The following is a 23,277-nucleotide window of genomic DNA, read 5'->3' on the forward strand; positions in this document are numbered from 1 at the left end:
GGAGCTTCCTTTAACACTTCATCTTGTCTTTATGGATAAACACATTATTATATACAATAAGTAAATATCGACATATTCCTCTATTATGTAATGCAGTCATCTTTGTGATACAATGTTCATAATATAGACAAGTAAGGAGAGTTAACAGATTAAAGAAGTTGTGGTTCCAAATATCGCATTAACTATAAAAAGTGAGGGGGAAAAATGTTCGTAGTCCCTGGGTCAGAGAACAGAGAGGAGATGTGGAAAAGAAGATCATGAAAACCTAGCCCAGTGCATAGGACTAACAGGCAGGAACACGGTTTAGAAACTGCCTTTTATTCTACGTCAAATGTTTCAGACACAGAATTAACATTATCTCTAGAATGAAATGTCTTAGTTGGGATCTTCTTATATTTTGACAGAGAAAAAGGACCCCTTTGTCTGCTGCTTTAAGCTCCAAGTCAGAAACTGACTTTCATAACATTTTCTTTTCTTTTTTTTATTTTTATTTTTTTTTTGAGACGGAGTCTCGCTCAAAGCCCAGGCTGGAGTGCAGCGGCGCGGTCTCGGCTCACTGCAAGCTCCGCCTCCCGGGTTCACGCCATTCTCCTGCCTCAGCCTCCCGAGGAGCTGGGACTACACCCCGCCACCACGCCCGGCTAATTTTTTTTGTATTTGTAGTAGAGATGGGGTTTCACCGTGGTAGCCAGGATGGTCTCGATCTCCTGACTTCGTGATCCGCCCGCCTCGGCCTCCCAAAGTGCTGGGATTACGGGCGTGAGCCACCGCCCCGCGGCCAACATTTTCTTAAAGAAAGTCAAAACCACCACAAACACTGCAATGTTTTCAGTCCATTATAAAATGACCATAACATTCTTCAGAGTTACATAATCATAGAAAGCAGTCAATTCACAGAATGATCGTGGTGTTCACAGTAGTATCATTACCCCATTTCCTTTCATTCTGAATTGTAAAAGTGTTTACTAAGCATTCTTACAGGAAATTGATGTAGGCAAAAGGGATACTAAGAAGACAAATTCCTGCCCTAATTAGGCCTATAGCCTAGCAGCGTAGGACAGACCAAATATCACAACGCTGAATGACAAGTGCTACCAAATAAAAATAAAGATGCATTGGATGGCACATGAGCCTACCTCAAGGATATCTAACCTATATTTAGTTTTGATAGTTGGAAAAGTTTTCCTGGTTTCCTAGAAGGTACAGTTTGATCTGACCTGATCAAAGCAGGTGACCTTTCACCCAAAGGAGATGAAATTAGATGGGAAAAAAGGGGGAGGCAGATTGTTGGGGAGAAAGAAAAGATATTCTGAACAGTTGAAAGAGAATACATGAAGGCCTATGGAGGGGGAGACATACTCTGCTGAGAACATGTAATAGACTAACATCTGGCTGCATGGGCAGAAACTCTCTTTTACTATTTATTAGACATTGTACCCCCCAAGGTATTCAGTAGTCTCGTGCTGGAATATCCAATTCTGAGTCTTGCTCCTTAGCTTTTTTAGAGTACTGAAGAAGAAGACGCTCCTAAGACCTAGCTTGTACTCCATAAGTTTGGAGCCTAAAGGTAGACAATGGCAAACCCGTTAATATTTACCCCCAAGAAATTACCTTTCGGGTATCTTAGGCTCTTTCTTACCAAGACCTTTCCTCTCCAATCTATTAATATTGTATTTTCACATAATTACCAGGGCTGTAGTCATGAGTATGTCATAGGCCTGTTTACAACTGGTGAATGCTTTTCCAGTGTTCTTAGGATAGAACTGGCTGGAAAGATTGGACATGACCTGGCAGGAGCTCACCTCTTCGGCATAACGTCCCCCTGCTGTTCATTCATTCATCTCCTTCTAATTTCTTAAAATTGTCCATTTGTGAATGTTGTTTCTTCTTCCTAAAACACTTTTCCTTCCACCCTCAGATAGCTAGATCTACTCAGATCTCAGCTGGAAAGTGTTATCCTCAGGCAAAACTTTTTCAAGAGCATAGGCCTCTTTTAGTATTCATATCACATGCCATTACAGAGCTATTCCTCAAAGTCTGCAATATACATATAGATATAGTCTGCAATATATATATAGAGAGAGAGTCAGTTCTATATATATGTATCTTCCCCCCTGGCCTGCGGCCTATAAGCTCCATGAGATAATGGCCTCTATCTTTCCCCCTCACACAAGACAAGCACATGGTAAGCTTTCAATAGATACTTGTTGAATGCATGCATGCATGCATGAATGACTGAATAAACGAATAATGATGTACAAATAAATGAATGAACAAACTCAGTGGCTTACACATACCTTATCTTATGTTTATCTGCTTCCACAAAATATTTTAGAGGGTGAACATAATTTACAATAACTTGGGGAGATACATATCATGTTCATATGTAACAAATGTCATTCCCCAGCAGTTGAAGGCAAAACGATAATGAGATATTTCAAAGAGCAACCAGCAAAACAAAAAGGGAGCTGGGAAATATTAATTGTGTTTCATCTTTCCTCTAGGAAGGGAAAGCTGTATTGTCATAAATGCTGATTACAGTAAGGGGAGACAGAAAAATTCAAGGGTGACACTCTTTGGGCCAAACTTACCCTTTTATAGAAAGATCAGTTCTAAGTACTTATGCATTCCTATAACCATAAAGGTGATCCAAATTTTAAAACTTCTAAATAGTTTTGTTTTCTCCAAAATGCCAGAAAGCAAGAGTAATCCAAATCTCTTTCTGGTAATTATGTTTCCCATAAAACATGGCAGAAAGCATGAGGGGTTAAAAACTATGCAATGGGTAAGCAGCAGTGGCCTCTGTTTACTCAAAATCCAAACACTACTACTAATTGAGAAAGAGATCACAAAAATTGGCCCAAGCTGATTCTCTGTGGTCACAAAAATTCTACTTTAAATTGAGCTCACCAAAGAATAAACTTTATAGCTCACTCTGTCACTCAAGTTGCATTTACTCAATGACTACTAGGTATCTGAAGCTGAGCCAGGTGAACAGGACAGATGTAGTTTCCTGCTCTAACAGAGCTAATAGCAAAGATGGAAGAGAGAGACAAACAATTGGAACAAAGTATGATAGGTGCAATTATATTAATATTAATGACAATTATACTCAGCACTTCACATGTGTGAGGCATTGTTCTAAGTTTCTAAAAAGTGTATATCCCATTTAACCTTCACCACAACAGCCCTGTCAGGTAATTACTATTGTCCCCATTTTGATAGAGGAGGAAATCGAAACAAAAAGATTAAATTCTTTGTAGCAAGTAACAGGGTGGGGAAGATGGGATTTAAACATAGGCATTCTGACCCCAAAGCCCATTCTTTGAACCACCTGGATATCCGCCTACACTTATGTAAGTAGTAGACCCAAAGGCATTTAATGTAGGAAAAGGCCCTGATTGTAAAGTCTTCTCACAACATGAATATTTGTATTCATCCAAAAACAAAAACATTTAACTGCTTCCCATATGCCCAACATGTTGCCAGATGCTGTGAGAGACACACAAAAAAGTTGAAGAAATGATTCTCATACTCAAAGAACTTACGATTGAAGTTAAAAATATTAATACTCAGTTTAAACAGCAATAAATCAACAAAAGTGTGATTTCAGAGTAAAACTACTATAGGGAGTTGAAGTAGAGAACGTTCTTTAAGATTTCTAATATGCTTGATAGCTTTCGTCAACAAATGCAATTATCATCTAAGCGGTTTAGCAGAAATATGGAGACTTTTACTCAGTGGACGTATCTCTGATCTTCAAACTCTATTCAGTGCCACAATTTAGCCATTAGGACTTTATGCACAGTTATTATTCCTTCTTATTTTCTTTTTTTAAATTAGCTCTTGAGACCAAAATAATAAACACTTGTACTACCACCCAACATAGAAAATAAAGTATAAAGTCGATTATACGTGTTCTCTAACTGCATTCCTTTCCTTATATCTTCTTCAGCCCTACCTCCTGTTAATAATCACTCAGGACTGGAGAGTTTTTATTCCTGTATGTTGTCCTTATTATTTAATATGTGTGTGCATGCATATGTGTGTCTGTGTGTATACAGATATATATACACACCATAGTTAGTATTGTTTTGTAGGTTTTCTTTTTTCTTTTCTTTCTTTTTTTTTTTTTTTTTTGAGATGGAGTCTTGCTCTGTTGCCCAGGCTGGAGTGCAGTGGTGCAATCTCTGCTCACTGCAACCTCCCCTTCCCGGGTTCAAGTGATTCTCCTGCCTCAGCCTCCCAAGTACTGGGATTACAGGCATGCGCCACCACGCCCAGCTAATTTTTATATTTTCAGTAGTGACAGGGTTTCACCATGTTGGCCGGCTGGTCTCAAACTTCTGACCTCAAGTGATCCACCTACCTCAGCCTCCCAAAGTGCTGGGATTACAGGCATGAGCCACCACACCCGGCCTGTTTTGTAGGTTTTGATTAGATATCAAGAATATCTTCTTATATGTCTCTTTTCGCAACTTCTTCCTCAATCTTTTAATGTATATGCGGATCTGTTGATAAACATTTAATATTGTTTCTAATTTCTAAACAACTGTAAAAAATTACAATGAATATTTTTATATATGTTTAGTGCATACATTTAAAATTTTCCCTACAAGTCTGAGGTGTATGTATGTGTGGAATCATTGGGTAGGAGATTATGTATGTCTTCAATAATATGTGTGTTAAAAAGCCCTTCAAAGTGCTTGTGCCAATTTAAATTTCCCTAAGAACTATCTGAGAATCCTACTGTTCTACGTCTTCTATACTTAGTAATTTTTAAATGTTACCAAAGATAAATCTTTTAATTTACATGAGTATTAATTATATATCTTAATATGATTTCCTTAAGTATCTCATAAAGTTGAGAACATTTTCTTGCAATTAGCCAATGATTTTCCTCTTTTGAGAAATGTATATTCATGCCCTTCACTCATTTGCCCACAGTATTGTTTGCTTTTTGGTATTATTCTATAGATGTTATTTGTAAGTTCTGAATACTAATTCCATAGCAATTAAATGTCTAACATATATATTTTTACAGTGCCTTAGTTAATCTTGGTTTTTGGTCATCTATATATATTTTAGAATCAGCTTTCAAATATAATGAGGGGGAGGTGAACTTATATTTATTGAACTTAAATTAACTTCATAGATTAATGAGACATAATTAACATTTTTACAAAATTGAATCTCTTTCCATGAACATGAGATCTCTTTCCATATGTTGAGAACTTTTTTTCATATATTTTAAGAATGTTTTAAAATGTTCTCCCTAGGAGCTTTGCATATTTTTTTTTGTTTTTATTCCTAAGTATTTTGATTTCTTTTAGAGGTATTTTATACTAAATCTCTCAAGACTTTTTTTGACTGAAGCAAAGGAACACATTATTGGATTTTAAAAATCAGTCCTATAAGAAGCAAATTTGCTAAACTCTCCTATAGTTCTAATAATGCATAGGTCTTGAAATTTCTATGTAGAAATTCACATATTTGAATTAAAACAAATATGAGTCTAACTGTCCAATCTATATATTTTAATTTATTTCCTCTGTTTTACTGTGCATTCTAGGGTCCCCAACACAGTGTTGAATTGAGCAGTGATTTTAAAAGAAATGATTCTATGGTTTCATTATTATGTGTTATTTGTAGTAGGTTTGCATAGACATTTTTTATCTGTTTAAATAAGTTCCCTTCTAGTACACATTTCTGAGGTTCATTTATTATAAAGTATTGAATCAGAAAAAATGTTTTATTCTCCATCAAGTAAGATGATTATACAAATTGCATCCATTTATATATTAAAGTAAGAATTGCATTTGTAGATTTTCTGATGTTAAACTCTGTTTGCATTCCCAAACAGAGAATTGGTCATGATATGTAATTGCTTTAATTTCAATTTAATATTTTGAAAACTTCTTTTAATTGGAAATCTTATCCTTTTCTATCTATTTTTCTCTAAACATACATAATGCCTTTTTAAAAAGCTGTCCACTTTAGGAGAATCGTTTATTAAAATTTTTGGTATATCCAAAAATGGGAATACTGTATAGCAGTTAATGATTACATAAGTTGTCTGTATTAACAATGAAAAGCTGTTCACAATAAAGTGATAGAAGTATATAACAACAGTATAAATAGTATCCTTTTGTATTTTAAAATGTTCATAAACATATGCATTGAAACAAACCTATACAGATCTATTGGAAAATGTTAAGAGTGCTTATTTCTAGAAAGTGGTATTTGAGATAATTTATTTAATTCTTTTCATGCTTTTTTTTTTGTTTTTTGAAAACATTGTACTTTAAGTTCTGGGATACATGTGCAGAACTGCAGGTTTGTTACATAGGTATACATGTGCCATGGTGATATGCTGCACCTATCAACTCGTCATCTAGGCTTTAAGACCTGCATGCATTAGGTATTTGTCCTAGTGTTCTCCCTCCCCTTGCCCCCAGCCTCTGGCAGGCCCCGGTGTGTGATGTTCCCCTCCCTGTGTCCATGTGTTCTCATCTCTTTACATGCTTTTTGATACTTTTTATATAGGTACAATATTATTTTAATTATCAGAAAACTTAATAATTTTACAAAACTGACAATAATAAGTTGGTTACCACTAACTGCAGCTAAAATGTTATAGACATTGGGCTGGCGATTTTTATAATTTTTTTTCTAACATTCGTAACACCTCTGCAAGATAGCTTTCTTTCATGTGAGAAAATTGAGGCTTTCAAAGGTTAAGCAACTTTCTCAAGGCTACGCAGCTGGTGAATGAGGAACTGAGATTTGAATTTTGGTTTCCCTAATACTAAACTTATATCACTCAAAAGATAAGTCATTCAATACTTGATTAACACAGTTGTTAGCCAACACATGTTAGCTTTTCTTCAGTTTTGAGTAAAGGCTTAGTGCTATATTAACAACAATGAACATAGGTTATAACTTATCTGAAAAGTGGATGATTTTTTTTGGCTCCATTCACTTGAACCAATATTTAACAATAAGATACGTCAGTTAAGCCTAACCTTACATATTGGATATTGCAAATGACAGTCTTGCAAAAATAAATAGATAAGTGCAAGAGAGAAAGAAAAAGACAGACAAGGGGGAGGGGTGTAAATACAACTTTATGCAAAACTAGTGGCTTGCCATAAGTCCTGAATTTTGAAACAGTGATTTTAAATTGTTGCTTTGAATCTCACTGCAGATGCAGATGGTAGGAGATATCCTCTGAAAAAGCTGATTACACTATATGGTGCATAGAGGACTGATGAGGAAAAACAAGACTCAAGTTTTCTCAGCTTTATCATAAGCGTTTTGGTATTTTTGCTTATACGTTAAATTGCAAGTCCTCTGTGGATGAAAAAAATACATTAAAGTGTACTCTTACATTTCCAGAGATCACTTTAGGTAACCTAAAAATTCTTATCTCAAAAAAGAAAACTCAGACTGACAACTTTTCTCATTCTTTAAAGTGCCTTGCCCAACACATCTGAACTAATGACTAAAAAGGCTGGGAGCCTGGACTTCTCCCAATGGGCAATCAAGGTGAAAGGCCCTTCCTTTCTTACTTCTGAGAGAAAGGTATGATTTTACACATTGTTCCTTTTTTTGTGAGTTAGGCATCTGAAATCTTTAGAGAGTTTGTCAGTTCTGAGCAAGAGGCCTTAGATTGTGATCTACTCTCCATTAAGGAGAAAACAAATAGGCCCACATCCTGGGTGTTCCAGAAACACCCGGAAAACATTTTCTCAAGGATGTTTTATTGGCCCTGACATATGGTCTCTTTGGATAGATATTTGGCCAGACCATGGCTCCAGGAAGATTGATACACTCAAGTAATTTACATTCTAGACGTTCCTCTGCTGCAATGTGCACACTGTTATTTTCGAATGAACCTGCAGACACCACTTGACTCCACTCTGCTTGTGCGGCAGACACACACCCCATCCACTTACAAGTGTTCTTCACGGTTTTCAGCGATGTGCTCAAGTAAGCAGTAAGCAACCCGCTGCCATTGTCCTGGACAAAATGCAAAGCTGTTTTCGGCATTTACTATTGCAAATATTAAGGTAGATGTGATTTATTTCCTCTCTCTGACTTCCTGAATTTCAATATCATTTGTCTGTAGCTCATATTTGCCAGATATCATACATTTTTTATTTTTAATATTTCAGTATGTCTGATATCCATTTCCCCTGCCTGTCATTGTGGTCAGAAACCACGAGCTACACTTGTTTCTCCCTTACCATTCATAAAGTGAGACTGACGTTGAACCTATTGCGAGGTGCCCAGCTTTCCAGGGACTAGGTTCAGCTCTTCTTATTCAGTAATATTTAACAAATATTTGTGTGGTATCCACTGTATGCTAGGCACATATTTTTTTCTTATTATTTACAACCCTGAGAGTAAGTGGTATTTCTATTTTACAGGGTATAAGTCTGAAATTTAGACAAGCAAATGATTTTCACAAGTTCTACAACTACGAGGAAGCAAAATTTGAATATAAAAGTCTCTCAAAAGTTCACTGTTTCCAATACATTAAATGACTCAGTAAACAAAAAGTAAACAGATGTTGACTAATCAATTCCTGCAAAAGTGATGTAAATATATCTTCAAAAGATGTCTTTATTTAAGTCTTAACGCTTGTAGCTAAATGGGTAGGATGCCAGTATAAATTTCTAGATACTTTTTGAGGCATCTCTTCTTGTATATCTCTTGTAGCCCATAAAGAATCTTGAATATAAATTGAATTGTAAATTTAAAATCAATTTAAAATTTAAAAACCATTATCCTTAAAAAACAGAGTGAATGTTAAAGTCACACAAGCCAAGGTTTTACAGATAATTGTACTAGGTTACCTTGGGGTGCAGTAATCTTAACAGCAAAAGTATATTTCATGGGAGTAGTATCAGACTATATAATAATTGATTTAAGAGGAAATGCAATATGCCCAAAGAAATCCAGCCCAAGGCTAGTCTTTCAGTCATTAATTCATTGATTATATATTGAGTGCTTACCATTGCCCAGAGGTAAATCTAATTTATAGGGCAAGTCCATGAACACATATACTGGGTCCTCGCTCCCATGGTCTTTAGATTTCAGAAGAGGAATGTAAGAGGCCAAATAAACAAATACATTAAGGAGCTAATGTCAGGTTCTTACATGGGCAATGATGAAAATATATCAGAATGAGGCAGTGAAGAGTGTTTTAGAGGCTCTGTTAGCTTGTGTTGTCAACCTAAAGATGATGGCAATCTTTAACATCACCCATAGCCAAAATAATAAAAATATGTCAAAATCTCTACTATGAAATGGTCATTAATAGAATTTTATTGTTCGTTAGAAAGGAAAGAAGACAATGAGCTTGAGCAATCAGCAGTGGTCTTGAATGTGCTTTTTGTCCAGATGGGATCTTTTGTAATTATTTTTATGTGGTACAACACAACATTTTCAAGTTGAACATTTTCAAGTCAAGTTGAAGAGATTCGCAAACTTTTAGTTAAAAAAAAAAGTCTTGGCTGGGTGCGGTGGCTCACAACTGTAATCTCAGAATTTTGGGAGTCCGAGGAGGGCAGATTGCTTGAGCCCAGGAGTTCAAGACCAGCCTGGACAACATAGCAAAACCCCATCTCAAAAAATTAGAGGGCATGGTGGAGTGAGCCTCTGGTCCCAGTTACTTGGGGGACTGAGGCAGGAGGATGAGCTGAGTTCCAGGCTGTAGTGAGCCATGTTCATGTCAATGCATTCCAGCCTGGGTACCAAAGGGAGACACTGTCTCAAAACAAACAAACAAACAAAAAAACTGTCTCTTATCATTCAGTCTCAAAAACCATTGGCCACTGATCCGTACCATAAGGCTTGAAAGACCTTAACATATTACCTAATGCAGAAATTAATCTCTCTTTCTCTCTCTCTCTCTCTCTCCCCCTCCTCCCCTGCTCAGTGGCGTACACGTGTGTGTGTGTGTGTGTATCGTGAATTAGGGACAAGATTGAGACACAAGTCTGTGTGACTCCAAAGCTATCACACTTTCCATTATAAAACACTGCTTTTTAAATGTAATACTATTATGTGGTCATTGCATATTTCTGAGTTGTTAATATAGTAGTTTCGACATTAGGTTGACTTTTGATTCCGTTCACTAAAGGAGGTAAATATTGCTATGCATAAAATGAAAGATGGAACGGAAAACTGGGGTGGTAGAAGAGGGTGCTAATAATCAGCCTTCTCTGAGTGGTTCACAAAGAAGTGAATACAGAGACATGCAATTTGTGCAGTGAAATTTAAAACACCTTTTGTAAGTCAACAAAAACAAGTTTCTCATGGCTCAGAAAAGAGAGCTTCCTGAGTTTTTTATTAATAAACTCATGTTACAACCAGCATGCCCATGTATACCAAGTCAGGCAGCAAAAGAAAATGGAGAGATCACTAGCCTTTTAGGAAAAAAAAAAGAGTCCTAATGTTGATTTATTTCTTTATTAACAAGTAATCTGTCGGTTTACTCCACTCTGTGTGAAGATGTACCACTAACTCATTACACGACTTCAGGCGAAGATGTTTTTTATCTACTTCCTCAAATACAGAATGAATTTAACACTTGTCTCACTGACTTCACAAGGTGAAGTCACTGCACTAAATGTTTTAGGTACAAGATCTCATTTTATCCCTCCAAGATGCCCATGAAGTAAGTATCATTAATTAAAGCTATTTTACAGACGAGGAAAATGGGGCTTCAGAAAAATAGATTCTCTAATGACAGAAGATGAAAAATTTCTTTGAATAATATAAAATGCTATACAAAAATGATGTAATTATATCCATTTTAAACAGGAAACAGTGAAGCATGTATGCTGTAGAAAAAAATGTCAACTATATTTAGTAGCTCAGTAAGACCACCCGATATAACTCATGTAATAATACAAAACGTTTAGTTAGAGCTTATATATGCCAACCGCAGGTCTTAGCATTTATGTCCTCACTTTAATTCATTAATCTTCAAAATAACCCTGTGAGGTACATAGTATTATTATCCCCACTTCGCAGCTAAAGAAACACAGAAACAGAACAAGTGACTTGTTCCAGGTAACAGCTAGTAAACGGCAGAGCTGGGACTAGAACCCAGAAGGTCTGGTTCTTAAACCTGCGCTCTTCATCATAACACTGCTTCTATGAAGCAGGCTGGAAAGGGTGCAAACCAATTAGCTATTTATTCAACAGGCTTAGAGAACAAATAGCTGGATTATTTCTCATTGCGCACAAGCCTTCGGGCCATTCTCTAGGCTCTGTTGGTTTGGTCCGCATGATGTTCTGTAAGGAGCAATCAGAGTTTCAAATGGCAGCTCAGCCAGCCCTGTTCATCCTCCATGACCTCTTTAAGGTTCTGTTTCCCATTCGTAAATGAGGAAAAGAATACCTATTCATCAGGGATTTAGTGAGGATCAAATGCATTCCGCACAAATTTTGGCACAGACATGGTTGGCACTCAGTAAACATTAGTCTGCTTCTTCCTCTGGCCTCAAATGTGGTGTCAGTTCAAATAATTTATTCTCCCATAAACTAGGAAAAGCTAAGAGAAAGGCCTCAGATCATGAAATATCAGGTTTTAAATCAACTGTATATTGTTCTGAGTGATGAAGCAATGTGCTTTTGTGAAAATAATGTTATCCTGAGTATTTATAAATAGGTCTTTTTCCCTAAAACATTGTATATTCATATACTGATTTCTCAGAGGTCAGTATATGCAATTTGAAAAACTAGTGGACTGATCTGGCTTGGCAATTCCTAGGTCAGTTCTATACTTGCTCATGCCACAGGTCTGCCAAAACAAATTTTATCACCAAGTAGAATTGTCTTGTAACAGTTATTAGTCAGGGTAGAAGGCAAGATACAGCCTGCTAAGAAACCACATGGAAATATTTGAAAGCACGTGAGTTTTTCAAATTGTTAATTGTGTCAAAAATTTAGCAGGGGGCATATTTTGAATTTGTTATGTGCTTGAACTTTGGATGGTTCCATGGCCTCATTTTTAAATTGTATTTTAATTGTTCCTGAAATAGAAAAAAACTAAGAAGATGACAATCTTGCTGTGTTGTTTGAAGACAATTGTTATTCTTTACAGAGTGATTCTGCTGTTTACAAACAAAATATTTATGTTTGTAAGAGTATTCATATTACAAATGCTCTTTAATCCCCTAATGCAAAGAGTTTTTAATTAGGTTAATAAAATTAGCTTAATTGCTTAAAATCTTTTTACTTCTGTGGCCCTAACAGATTTCTAAATTCGAATCTGTGGATGAACATTTGAAATACAATAAGCAAAATAATAATAACAAAGGCAGTAATTATAAGTAGACTTATAGAACCCATAGATCTTATGAATTATCAAAATGATTTAGAAATTCACATTTGCAAAGTAAATTTTAATTACAATAAACTTTATCTTTTAATGATATAAAATATATTTACATAAATAGAAAGACTGTAAATTTATATTGGCATTACAAACATTTCAAATTTTAAAATTATAAATAGTGTTAATCTTTTTGTTTTGTTTTGTTTTGAGACAGGGTTTGATTTCAGTTGTCCAGGCTGGAGTGCAGTGGCACCGTCTTGGCTCACTGCAACCTCCACCTCCCCAGCTAAATCAATCTTCCCACCTCAGCCTCCCAAGTAGCTGGAACTACAAGCATGTGCCAGCGTGCAGCATGTCTGGCTAATTTTTTGTATTTTTTGTAGACTGGGTTTTGCCATGTTGCCCAGGCTGGTCTCGAAATCCTGAGCTCAAGCAACCCACCTGCCTTGGCCTTCCAAAGTGCTGGGAGCCACCAGGCATGAGCCACTGGGCCTGGCCAAGAATGTTAAACTTTTTGTACATCTAAAATAAATAGAAAATGGACTCGATATAGTTTAGTTATAACCATAATCATATCAAGACAGGGGGAAAGTTTCAAGTTGAAAGATTATTTAGTAATATCCTTTTAGATTAAATTATATGATTAAAAAATACAACTCTCTATTTTAATACCAACAATAATTTGTTAAAGACACTGTGTTGGGGAAATTGTAACCTACTTAAGTTAAATAAAATATTAAAGTCAGTTAAACAGTGAAGTCAGTGGTATAGTTGGATGCCAAGTGAAAACGTGTTTTTCTCACTATTTTACTTGGAGAGCTGTCCGCTGGGGGTTTTTAGCAGTTTCCAGGTTTTGCATGTGGACACTTCAATAACCTTATTTCAGAAAAACTACCAAAATAAGTCATTTATGTAATATATATATATATATACATATAAAACATATATATATTACATATATGTATATATATTACATATATATGTATATATAGGAAATATATAAGATATATATATAGATATATATATCTTACTCATTTTTCTTGGAGAATCTGGGAAGTTACTATAAAACTAAATGGAGGACATGACATTTTGTGACCATAAAACTAAATGCAGGTTACTAGAAAACCTAATGCAAAATCTGCCACAAATAGTTTTATGTAATACATATTAATCTCAGATTTGGATACTATAAGATCAATTTCTTATAATTGCCGTAATCTGGGCAAAAGAGGTCAAACTAAGCCCAGTGTCTAGGCATAGTAGTTGGCTCTGCATGAAGTGGACATCCATCCTCTGAGTTTAATAGATCCACTGCCACTGATTTGAGGCAGGGAACAGAGGACCAGAGAAAGGAGAGAGAGAGAATGAGACAGAAGGGAGGAAAATGCACATGAATATGGAGAGGTGGGGGCATGAGAATCAACAAAGATCTATCGTTGGGTGGTGATGGTTGAGCTGGTCATGTGAGTTTGGGGCCCATGAGCTAGCAGTGATGAAAATCACTTTGTTTTTTATTTTTATTGAGCATCACTCAGTGAGGTTGTGTTAAATGCCACAGTCTGATTGCATTAAACTTGGGCACGTTTGCTACATCACATTTTTTAGACACATAAATACACGAATGCTATTCACAACTTTATATGTTATAACTATGTAGGCCAAAGTGTATATAAAATAATGATGATGTAATAATAGTAGCTAATGCTTATATAAGCCCTTTTTATGCACCGGACACTGTTCTTCACACATATATCATCCCATTTAATCTTCACCATACCTCTATTAGGTGGTCACTAATATTACGCCCATTGTTTTCATATAAAAACTAAGGCATAAAGGATTTAAGTGATTTACCAAGATCATATCACTCATAAGTGGCAATAAATGGCAGAGTTGAGATTCAAAGCAAGTAGGTTTCTTCAGCGTCCATATCTTTCATCCATTTTGAATAAAGAGTGTATAAATAAAATAGAAGGTTCTTACTATATATGTCACGTATGCATGCCGCCATTCTGTACTTACTGATTTCACTCAATGTGTTTGTTCAGGGTCATTGGTAGAATCTCCATTATTTCTGTTTTTTTTTTCATATTGATTTGTTCGTTTATATATCCTGACTCACTTTTGCCTGTATCTCCATATATACCCCTATACTAACTGGGTTGGGGAAAAAAAAAGGAAGTGGAACAACTTTGATTTAATTGGACAATTTTTATTTATCCCCTAAACTGGAAAAGAAATCTAAATTGCTGAGTTTATTTGACTCCTTTATCTCATTTATTTGTCTATTTTAAAAAAATACAATTCCTTTTCATTGGGACTAATGTCTATTATTAGCATCTATTTCTACTTGTCCTTTTATTGTCAACTAGAAATTAAAGCCAGAGTTTTATCAAAACACATGGAGTGGTAGAAATGCCCTTTATTTAATTACTGCAAATCCCTGCAGAGCCACACTCTGGATAAATTAAACTCACTGGATAGAAAAAAAAGAATTTGAATCTAATAGATTATATACTTTAGCCTGAAGACACCAAGAAAGGGAAAGGTAGAATTATTAGTCAAAATTGAAAGTACCTTTGAATGGCTGTGCTCTGCTTATTGTAACATTGACTTCTTCGGTACATTTTCTTAAATAAAAGCTCAAAACACTAAGCTTACATTTTCAAAGTCTAAATTACTTTATGCCTGACTATAGACAGTAATTTATTTTGAACAGACCAATCTCCCAATTCTTCAAACACAAATTTCCTAGCATGAAATTTAAAATACTCCATTGATGGGCCCCATGTCAAGAAAGTAACATCTTTTTCTGTTTTGCAAAACAAATCCGTGCTTAATTAGATTCATTGACAGGCTACTCCCACCCTTCTCCACCTCCTAGGGAGTCCCCTGCAATTTGATTTCCCTTCAGTTCATTTCCCCAATATTGTTTTCTCAAAGGTCACAAATAGAACTTGTTAAGGCCCATTTAGCCATCTCTTTTTTTTTTTTTTTTTTTTTTTGACGGAGGTTCACTTTTGTCGCCCAGGCTGGAGTGCGCTATCTTAGCTCTTGGCTCTGCAAGCTCCTCCTCCTGGGTTCAAGTGATTCTCCTGCCTCAGCCTCCCGAGTAGCTGGGACTGCAGACACGTGCCACCACACCCGGCTAATTTTTGTATTTTTAGTAGAGACGGGATTTCACCACGTTGACCAGGTTGGTCTTGAACTCTTGACCTCAGGTGATCCACCCTCCTCGGCTTGCCAAAGTGCTGGGCTGACAGGCGTGAGCCACCGTGCCTGGCCTAACCATCTTAATTCTACTTGACTTCTTAATGCTGGAAGTACCTTCCCTGATACTCCCTTATCTAGATCAGAGCCCCCTTGATCTTTCCTCGGATTGCCAACTCCCTGGCTCTTTGGTTCTTAAAATTCTGGCTCTCTAACTTTCCTATTTCCTTTCTCAAAGAATTCAGGAACTCATTTAGTAACAAACAAACAAACAAATAACAAACTATTATTCTTCAGCCAGGTGACTCCAAAATTATTTTCTAATCTTGATTTTTCAAAAGTGTTTGAGATTTAAACCTCAACCTCAGCTAAACAAGAAAGTAGTATTTTTTTCTTTATAAAGACAAGGAGGATAAAGCAAAATAATGTAGAATATAATGTTATGTGAAATACTTGCTATTTTAAGGATTTTTCTTTTAAGACAATATGTTATATTTATTTATATTCAAAGTTCCTGATATAGTTTTTATTATGCATCATAAATTGTGGTAGGTACTAAAAACATAGAAATGAAGTAAACGTTATCTACCCACAGGAGCTTAAAGTCTGTTTAGAATCTGGCAGAAGGAATTAGTGATAGCTGGACCAACAGGAAGGAAGCATTAACTTGGGTATTATTTTATTGTCCTAGAAAATTTTCACATACTTGACAAATAGTAGAATGTTTTATGTCTTGATCTCTATTTTCTAATTCCCCCAAACCATGCAAGATTTCTATTCTACTCACATACAAGTATTATATTGATCTGTTATATTATTGAAGGCTCTTTTAATGCAAGAGAAAGAAAACCAGCTACAACCACCTAAAATCAAATGGGGAGTTTCATGGTGCACATCCACAAAGTGGACATGTCAGGACAGGGGAACATCTGGATCACAAGAATGCCGGTTCCCAAAGACAATAAGGATGGTTTCCAGCCTCTACTATTTCTGCACTGCGAAGCCATCATCTCCATTTCAGACTTTCCCACTAAGCAGGAAATACAATTGCCAACAGCAGCTAGCTTCGTACCTCAAAGCAACACCAGAAAGAAGAAGCATTTCCATCGAGGGAAGGAGTGAGTGTAAGGAGTATTTCCCCCAAAAGGTAAGATTGCTTTCTCAGAATATGGGAGGAGCTGAGTAGGGCATGATAAATGTCTTCTCTGGAGAGGCTCTTAACAAAAAGCAAAAATATCATCAGTAAGAAATTCTGGTGAAAATTATTAGTATGGATAAAGACTCCTGGGGGTGGGCGGGCTAAAGAAAGAAGACAGAATGATGAAAAACAGAAATCAGTGACAAAGGCAGATTTCCATAGCAAAAATTATAGAATGTGAAACAAGGTGGACCCTTTGTCCCAGCTCCTCCTCCTTACCACCTGTAGGACTCTGTAGAAGCATGCAGAGACGCAGCTGAATGCTAGTCCGTTTGTTTTGTTATGTTTTGTTTTTAAATCCCTTTACCACATCCGTAATCCAGTTCATAGAGCAATCTTCAATCCTTCATGCTTTTATATCTTCCTAGATAACAGGTAACTTCTTTGGAATAAGGCAAGGTATAAACATGAAAACAAATAAATATTTTTGGTGAAGTCTAATTCAGCTTCGTGTTGTTCCCAGTAGAGTAATTAAGATATATTATTTTCCTATTTAACTAATATGGAAATTAAAGGACAAAATGTTTAAACAGTATGCCCTGACAGTAGATGAGTCATAGCAGAAACTGTGATTCCTTGCAGTCATCTGAACTTTTCTGCCTAACCACCAGTCACAAATTATTTTGGGTCCCTGGTGGGAACCTCAAATCAGCTATACCCAGGGCATCAAACCAAGCAGCAGTTACTAGGTCTGAGAGAGAAGAGAGCAGAGAGAAAATCAGTCTGATAAGCCCTTACATGAGTCAGTAAGATTGAGACCACGATTTCTTGAATTGTAAGTGAAGAAACTGGGCTAAAAAATTCCCAAGTCCTTCCAGAGAAGTGCTGTAACGCCGTCTCTGAGCTAGTGCGTTTCAGAAAAAGTTGGTCCTATTAGGTTTTGTGTAGCTACCCTACTAGATATCAGAGAGACTGACACCTGCAGTGACTTCAGAGGAAAGCAGAGGCAGCACTGCCAAAGAGGCCGTGACTACCCAACCGAGAGAGATGTGTTACGATTTACTCAACTGTTTATTTGCCAGGCCTTTAATCTGAAAATGATGGCCTGGCTTTCATAAAACCATGCAAAAATCTGCTATAGAATGTCCCTACGCCTCAATTCTGGCTTCGAGCCTGGCAGTGGGGGAGGGCAAGTATATGCTTCCACAAAAGGACAAAAGACTCCACCATCCCTTAGAATTGTTCGGCTGCTTTTTTTAGTTTGTTTTATTCTTGGCTTGCTTGTTTGCATGGGTGGTTACAAAATCTTTAAAAAGTGAAAAAGAGTGCAGAATTTTCAGTACCCTGACTCAAGGATGCAGTCCACTAGCCTATTCACAGTTTGCATCTCTGACCTTCACAGACTGATTTTCTCTTCTTTACTCCTTTTGTATTGAATGTGTGCTGTAAACTCACATTGCTTGAGTATGTACACAATGTCTCCACTATATTTCTAATCCTGCATGGAACGGATTAAACTATCAGCATTCTCTCACCTGTGCACTTTTCCCTTACCAAGAATTTAAAAAAAAAACAACTGTTTATAAGTTTAGACTAACAAGAGCTGAGAGAGCCTGAGTCATAAAAATGATAATTATAACCAATCTTCCAAGTATTATTACCATCACTACTATTAGAAAACAAAAATACATCTCTTCTTAATTTTATTAAAGCCTTCCTTAATCTTTTGCATCTGATATCTCTCCCAAAGAAAGAGAAGAACAAAGAAGCATAAAGATTGATTACTGGTAAGTGTATTTCTTTTCATCCCTGGTATTTACACTGAGTCAAGAGCTCCCTTACCAGCCACATGGCACCTACTCTTTCTGTCCTAGAACTAACTACGCTGCCTTTATTCTTCCCTTTCTTTATCTTTTCTCCAGCTTCTCCTGCTGAGCTCACCATGAGATCTCATTGTGCATTCATGCCTTGAGAAGACAGTGCTGCCGAACTTTACCAGATTATCTTGGGCGCTTGTTAAAAATTGCCAATTATTGGGAGTTCAGAAATCCCCAATAAGACAGCATAGCCCAGGTCTTTGTACTGTACCGTGCTTCTCCTTTGGACCCTATCGATATATAAACAGCACATGAGAATATCATACACTAAGACTAATCTAAATGATTAGGAAACGTAAATTTTATCTCATAGTGGAAATTGACTTGCTTACTTTTATTAACTTTAGTATACCATCTTTCTCAAAAAGCTTACCTCTTCAAGAATATGGCTGTCTTGGGGAACCAGACAGAGATCATCTTCTAAACCTGACTGTACGTTTTGATCATCTGAGAAGATTTTAAGAAAACATGGATCCCAAAACTTACTGTATACCTAGTGAACCAGAAAATCTGGAGGATGAAATACAAAAATATATTTAAAATTAAAAACCTTCTCTGTCCTCCATTTCTAACCACCACTATACTGCCAAGAAGCGCCAATATTGACTCCTGGTGTGTGTACTTCAACCCCTTTTAGCATACCCAAGTATATGTGTGTGTGAGTGTGTGTATATATATATATATATATATATGCTTGTATGTTTGTGTATAATATATAATATATACTTTATAAATATATATAATATATACTTTACAGTACATATTAACTATATATAATATATTATTTTTTCAAATAATTATATTTACTAACATTATATAATAAAGCATATATAATATATACTTTATAAACCTGTTATATATAATACATAATTTATATATTATAAATATTTTTATATGCATGTGCTTGAAAAATAGGGGCTTTCAGAACATTTACCCAAAAGCCAGAAAGAGAAGAGCATAAAGGTGTAGAACGTGGAAAGTTTTTTGTAGGTCTGGCCTGGAAGAGATGCCCATGGTTCCACTGACATTCCATTGGCTAGATCTCCATCATGTGACTATGCCTAATTATAGGGGGCTGAGAAATGTGGTCCTCAGCCTGGCAGCCACTTCCCAGGAACAGCTCCACATTATAAAGACAGAGTAGGAATCTTTGGCGAGTATCTGGCTTTCTCTACCTCTCTACCCAATTATGCTCTGTTACTGATATTCCCTGAACACTTGATTCCCTCTGTGTTTCTAATCACCATCCTCTCTCAACCTGGAGTGCACTTCTATACATACAGCAAGCCTAATTTTTCTTCTGTCTCGGTTCCATTTTCTTCTGCTCCTCAGATCCTATTCCTTTCGTAGATTCTTTCACTCAACTAATGTCTTTTGAGGTGTACCACATGTCAGAAATTTTTTTTAGGTGATGGAGAGCAAAGAGTAAACTAAAGGGACAAAATATCTGCCCTCTTGGAGATTACATTCTTGGACAAATAAACAAAATGTTTAATAAGTAAACCACATTGTATGATACATAGTGGTATGTTCTGAAGAGATAAATAAAAAACCATAGAGGAAAAGTATAAAATTTACAGAAGTAGGGTAAAAGTTTTAGACAGGTTGGCCAAGGAAGACAACAATGAGAACATGAATTTAAGTAAAAACTTTGAAAAAGTGCAGAATAAAAAGAACCAATGCAAATTTCCTAAGGCAGGAATATGTTAGAAAATGCCCCCAAAACAGCATGAACATCAGCACAGCTTGAGCAAAAAAAAAATAGAAGGGAAAGTAGAATATGATGTTACAATGACAATGGGGTATATTATGTCCAGCTTTGTAGATCACAGAATTTTGGCTTTTATGGAACATGAGATTAGAACTATTAGATGACTTGAAACTAAGGAGTGACATGATGTTATCTGTTTTAAAATGGCTTCACCAGGCATAGCAGGGAGAATAACAACTCCCCCAGGATGTCCGTGTTCTAATCCACAGAACATGTAAATATATTACTTCACATAGCAAGAGGGATTTTGTAGATGTGATTAAGTTGAGGATCCTGATATGGGAGGATTATCTTGGGTTATCTACATGAACCCAATGTAATCATAAAGGACATCAAAAGAGAGAGGTGGATCAGAGTCAGAGAAGAACCATGTGACAAATAGAGTAAGAACAAGAGCAAGAGAGAGAGAGAGAGAGTGAAAGATGCTATGCTTCTGGCTTTGAAGATGAAGGAAAGGGCCAGGAGCCAAGGAATACAGGGAACCTCTAGAAAGTGGAGAAGGCAAGAGAACAGATTCTCTCCTAGAGCCTCCAGAAAGAACCAACCTGCCTACACCCTAATTTTAGCCCAGCGAGACTCCTTTCAGACCTCTGACCACTGGAACTGTAAGGCAATGCATGTGATGTTTTAAGCTAAATTGATGGTAATTTGTTACAGCAGCAATAGGAAACTAATACAGCAGGCTGCGCTGTTGAGAATAACCGGGAGCAAGAACGGAAGCAGAGAGACCTGCTAGAGAGCTACTACAGTAACCCAGAAGGGAGAGAATGATGGATCCAACCAAAAGAGGGGCTGTGGGGTTAGTGAGAAATGGACAAATTTTGGCAATATTTTGAAGACCATACTGATAGAATTTCCTAAAAGCCCGCCTGTGAGGTAGGTGAGAAAGAGTTAAGGCTGGCACCAGGGTTCTAAGCCTGAGCACTGACAGAGAGTTGCTATCAAATGAGACAGGGACAACGGCAAGAGGACCTCATTTATGGAAAAAGAACCAATGATCCCTCTTCTCTGTGACATTTATAGGATTTAATTATTTTATTTGACATTTATTAGATAGTCATCCATGTCCTCATCTGCCTTTGTGGCTAGATTATAAGCTTGGAGATCGCTATTTTTTTCTGTGTTTTTCTACATTTTTAGCTTAAGAACTTTGTTAAGTACAAAATTATGCAAGAATAAAAGGGTGGCTATCCAACCTATGACCAAAACACAATAATGGTACAACTTTTGAATAAAATCTGCTTTTAACAAAAGGAATATCTGCAGTCAGAGAAAACACCAAATTTCTATGTTCTTTAGTTCTCCAAAGCACCTACCACAGCTCCTAATAAAGAATAGCCGTTCAGTAGGCCTTGGTTAAAACACACACACACACACACACAGACACACACACACACACACACACACACACGCACCCCTGTAATAATGACTTACATCATCAGTTCTGCTTGAGTTTTCCAAGAAAAGGGATTGAGAGAAAGAAAGTAAAGCACTTCTTGATCTATTCATGAGAATTTTACCATTTAATTTGAGATTTTCTCTTACCCTCATGGAAAAATAGAAATAAACATCACCCTATCATCCAAGCGTCAGACAGTAAAACTGTTTGAACTTGAAACTCATGATGCATTTCAAGTTCAAACAGTTTTACTGTCTGAAGCTTGGATGATAGGGTGATGTATATATCTATTTCTACCCTAAATAAGGAAAGCTGCAACTTTTTTTCTGTCTACTGCACTAAATGCTAGTTCCCTGCAACAAAGTCAGTAGTCTACTCCAATAAAGCAGTACTGAATATAAACAAATATAAGTAAGTGTTGTTACTACATCCCCGTTCACATTTAATCTGTTACCCCTTCCTGGCCATTAGGAAAACTTTATGTGAACAAAGGATATGGTGGTTTCTAGCAGTGAATTTTTTTTTTTTTTTTTTTTTTTTTTTTGAGACAGGGTCTTGTTCTATCACCCAGGCTGGAGTGCTGTGGTGCAATTTCGGCTCACCAGAACCTTTACCTCCTGATTCAGGCGATTCTCGTGCCTCAGCCTCCCAAGTACCTGGGACTGCAGGCCCACAACACCACACCCGGCTAATTTTTTATATTTTCAGTAAAGATGGGGTTTCACCATGTTGGCCAGGCTGGTTTCGAATTCCTGACCTCAGGTGATCCTGACCTCAGGCCCACCTCAGCCTCCCAAAGTGCTGGGATTACTGGTGTGAGCCACCATGCCCAACTGAAAATTTTAATCTATATATGATAATGGATCTGACTTCAGGAATAATCAAAATAAACACCTATTTGAGGAGATATTCTCTGCTATTACTTTGGTCTTAATATTGCTAGTGTCTTTTCATTTAAGATTATCCAATATAAAGTAAGCATTAATAGCCTATTTAAAAAGCCAGACTTAAATAAATGGTATTGGTTCAAGACAGCCATTTTGAAAAAGAAGAATTTGACTCAACACTTCAAATTATACACTAGAATAAACTCCTGATGAACCAGAAGAAAACAAATAAATAGAATCAAACAAGTGCTAAAGAAAACATGAACGAATTCCTTTGTCAACTGGATAAAGGGAAAAACATTTCTAACTAAGACTAACATTCCACAGGCAATAACGAAGAGGATTAAAATATTCTACTACATTAAAATTTTAAAAAACACTTTGCATAAAAATTAAGCAAAACAAAATACAAATGAAAACCTGGAAGAAATAGTTTGGACTTCACCAAAAGTAAAACATTCTCTTTTTGAAAGACACTTCAAGAAAATCTAAAGTCAAGCCATGACAGACTGAGAGCAGTATTTATATTATTTGATAATGAACTTGTATGTTGAATATATAATAAACCCAATTCAAAAATAAAAAACACTTTTTTTTTAAAATGAGAAAATATAATTTGAACAGAAACAGACATTTTACC

The 23,277-nt window shown here is 36.3% G+C and overlaps 1 protein-coding gene across 5 annotated transcripts in view, besides 1 other annotated feature; it reads right to left on the bottom strand.

The window, feature by feature from the left end:
* Positions 1-23,277, bottom strand: part of GPM6A (glycoprotein M6A) — a 369,457-nt gene that overhangs the window by 183,442 nt on the left and 162,738 nt on the right. The window lies entirely within an intron of this gene.
* Positions 6,921-6,970: an enhancer, noted in NCBI's record as "active region_22165". NCBI's record gives its function as "activates an Ori minimal core promoter by ATAC-STARR-seq in GM12878 lymphoblastoid cells {active_cell/tissue: GM12878}" and the evidence as "EXISTENCE:reporter gene assay evidence [ECO:0000049][PMID:35858748]".

The sequence above is a fragment of the Homo sapiens genome, chromosome 4, assembly GCF_000001405.40.
Source record: "Homo sapiens chromosome 4, GRCh38.p14 Primary Assembly".
NCBI classification, from domain to species: domain Eukaryota; kingdom Metazoa; phylum Chordata; class Mammalia; order Primates; family Hominidae; genus Homo; species Homo sapiens.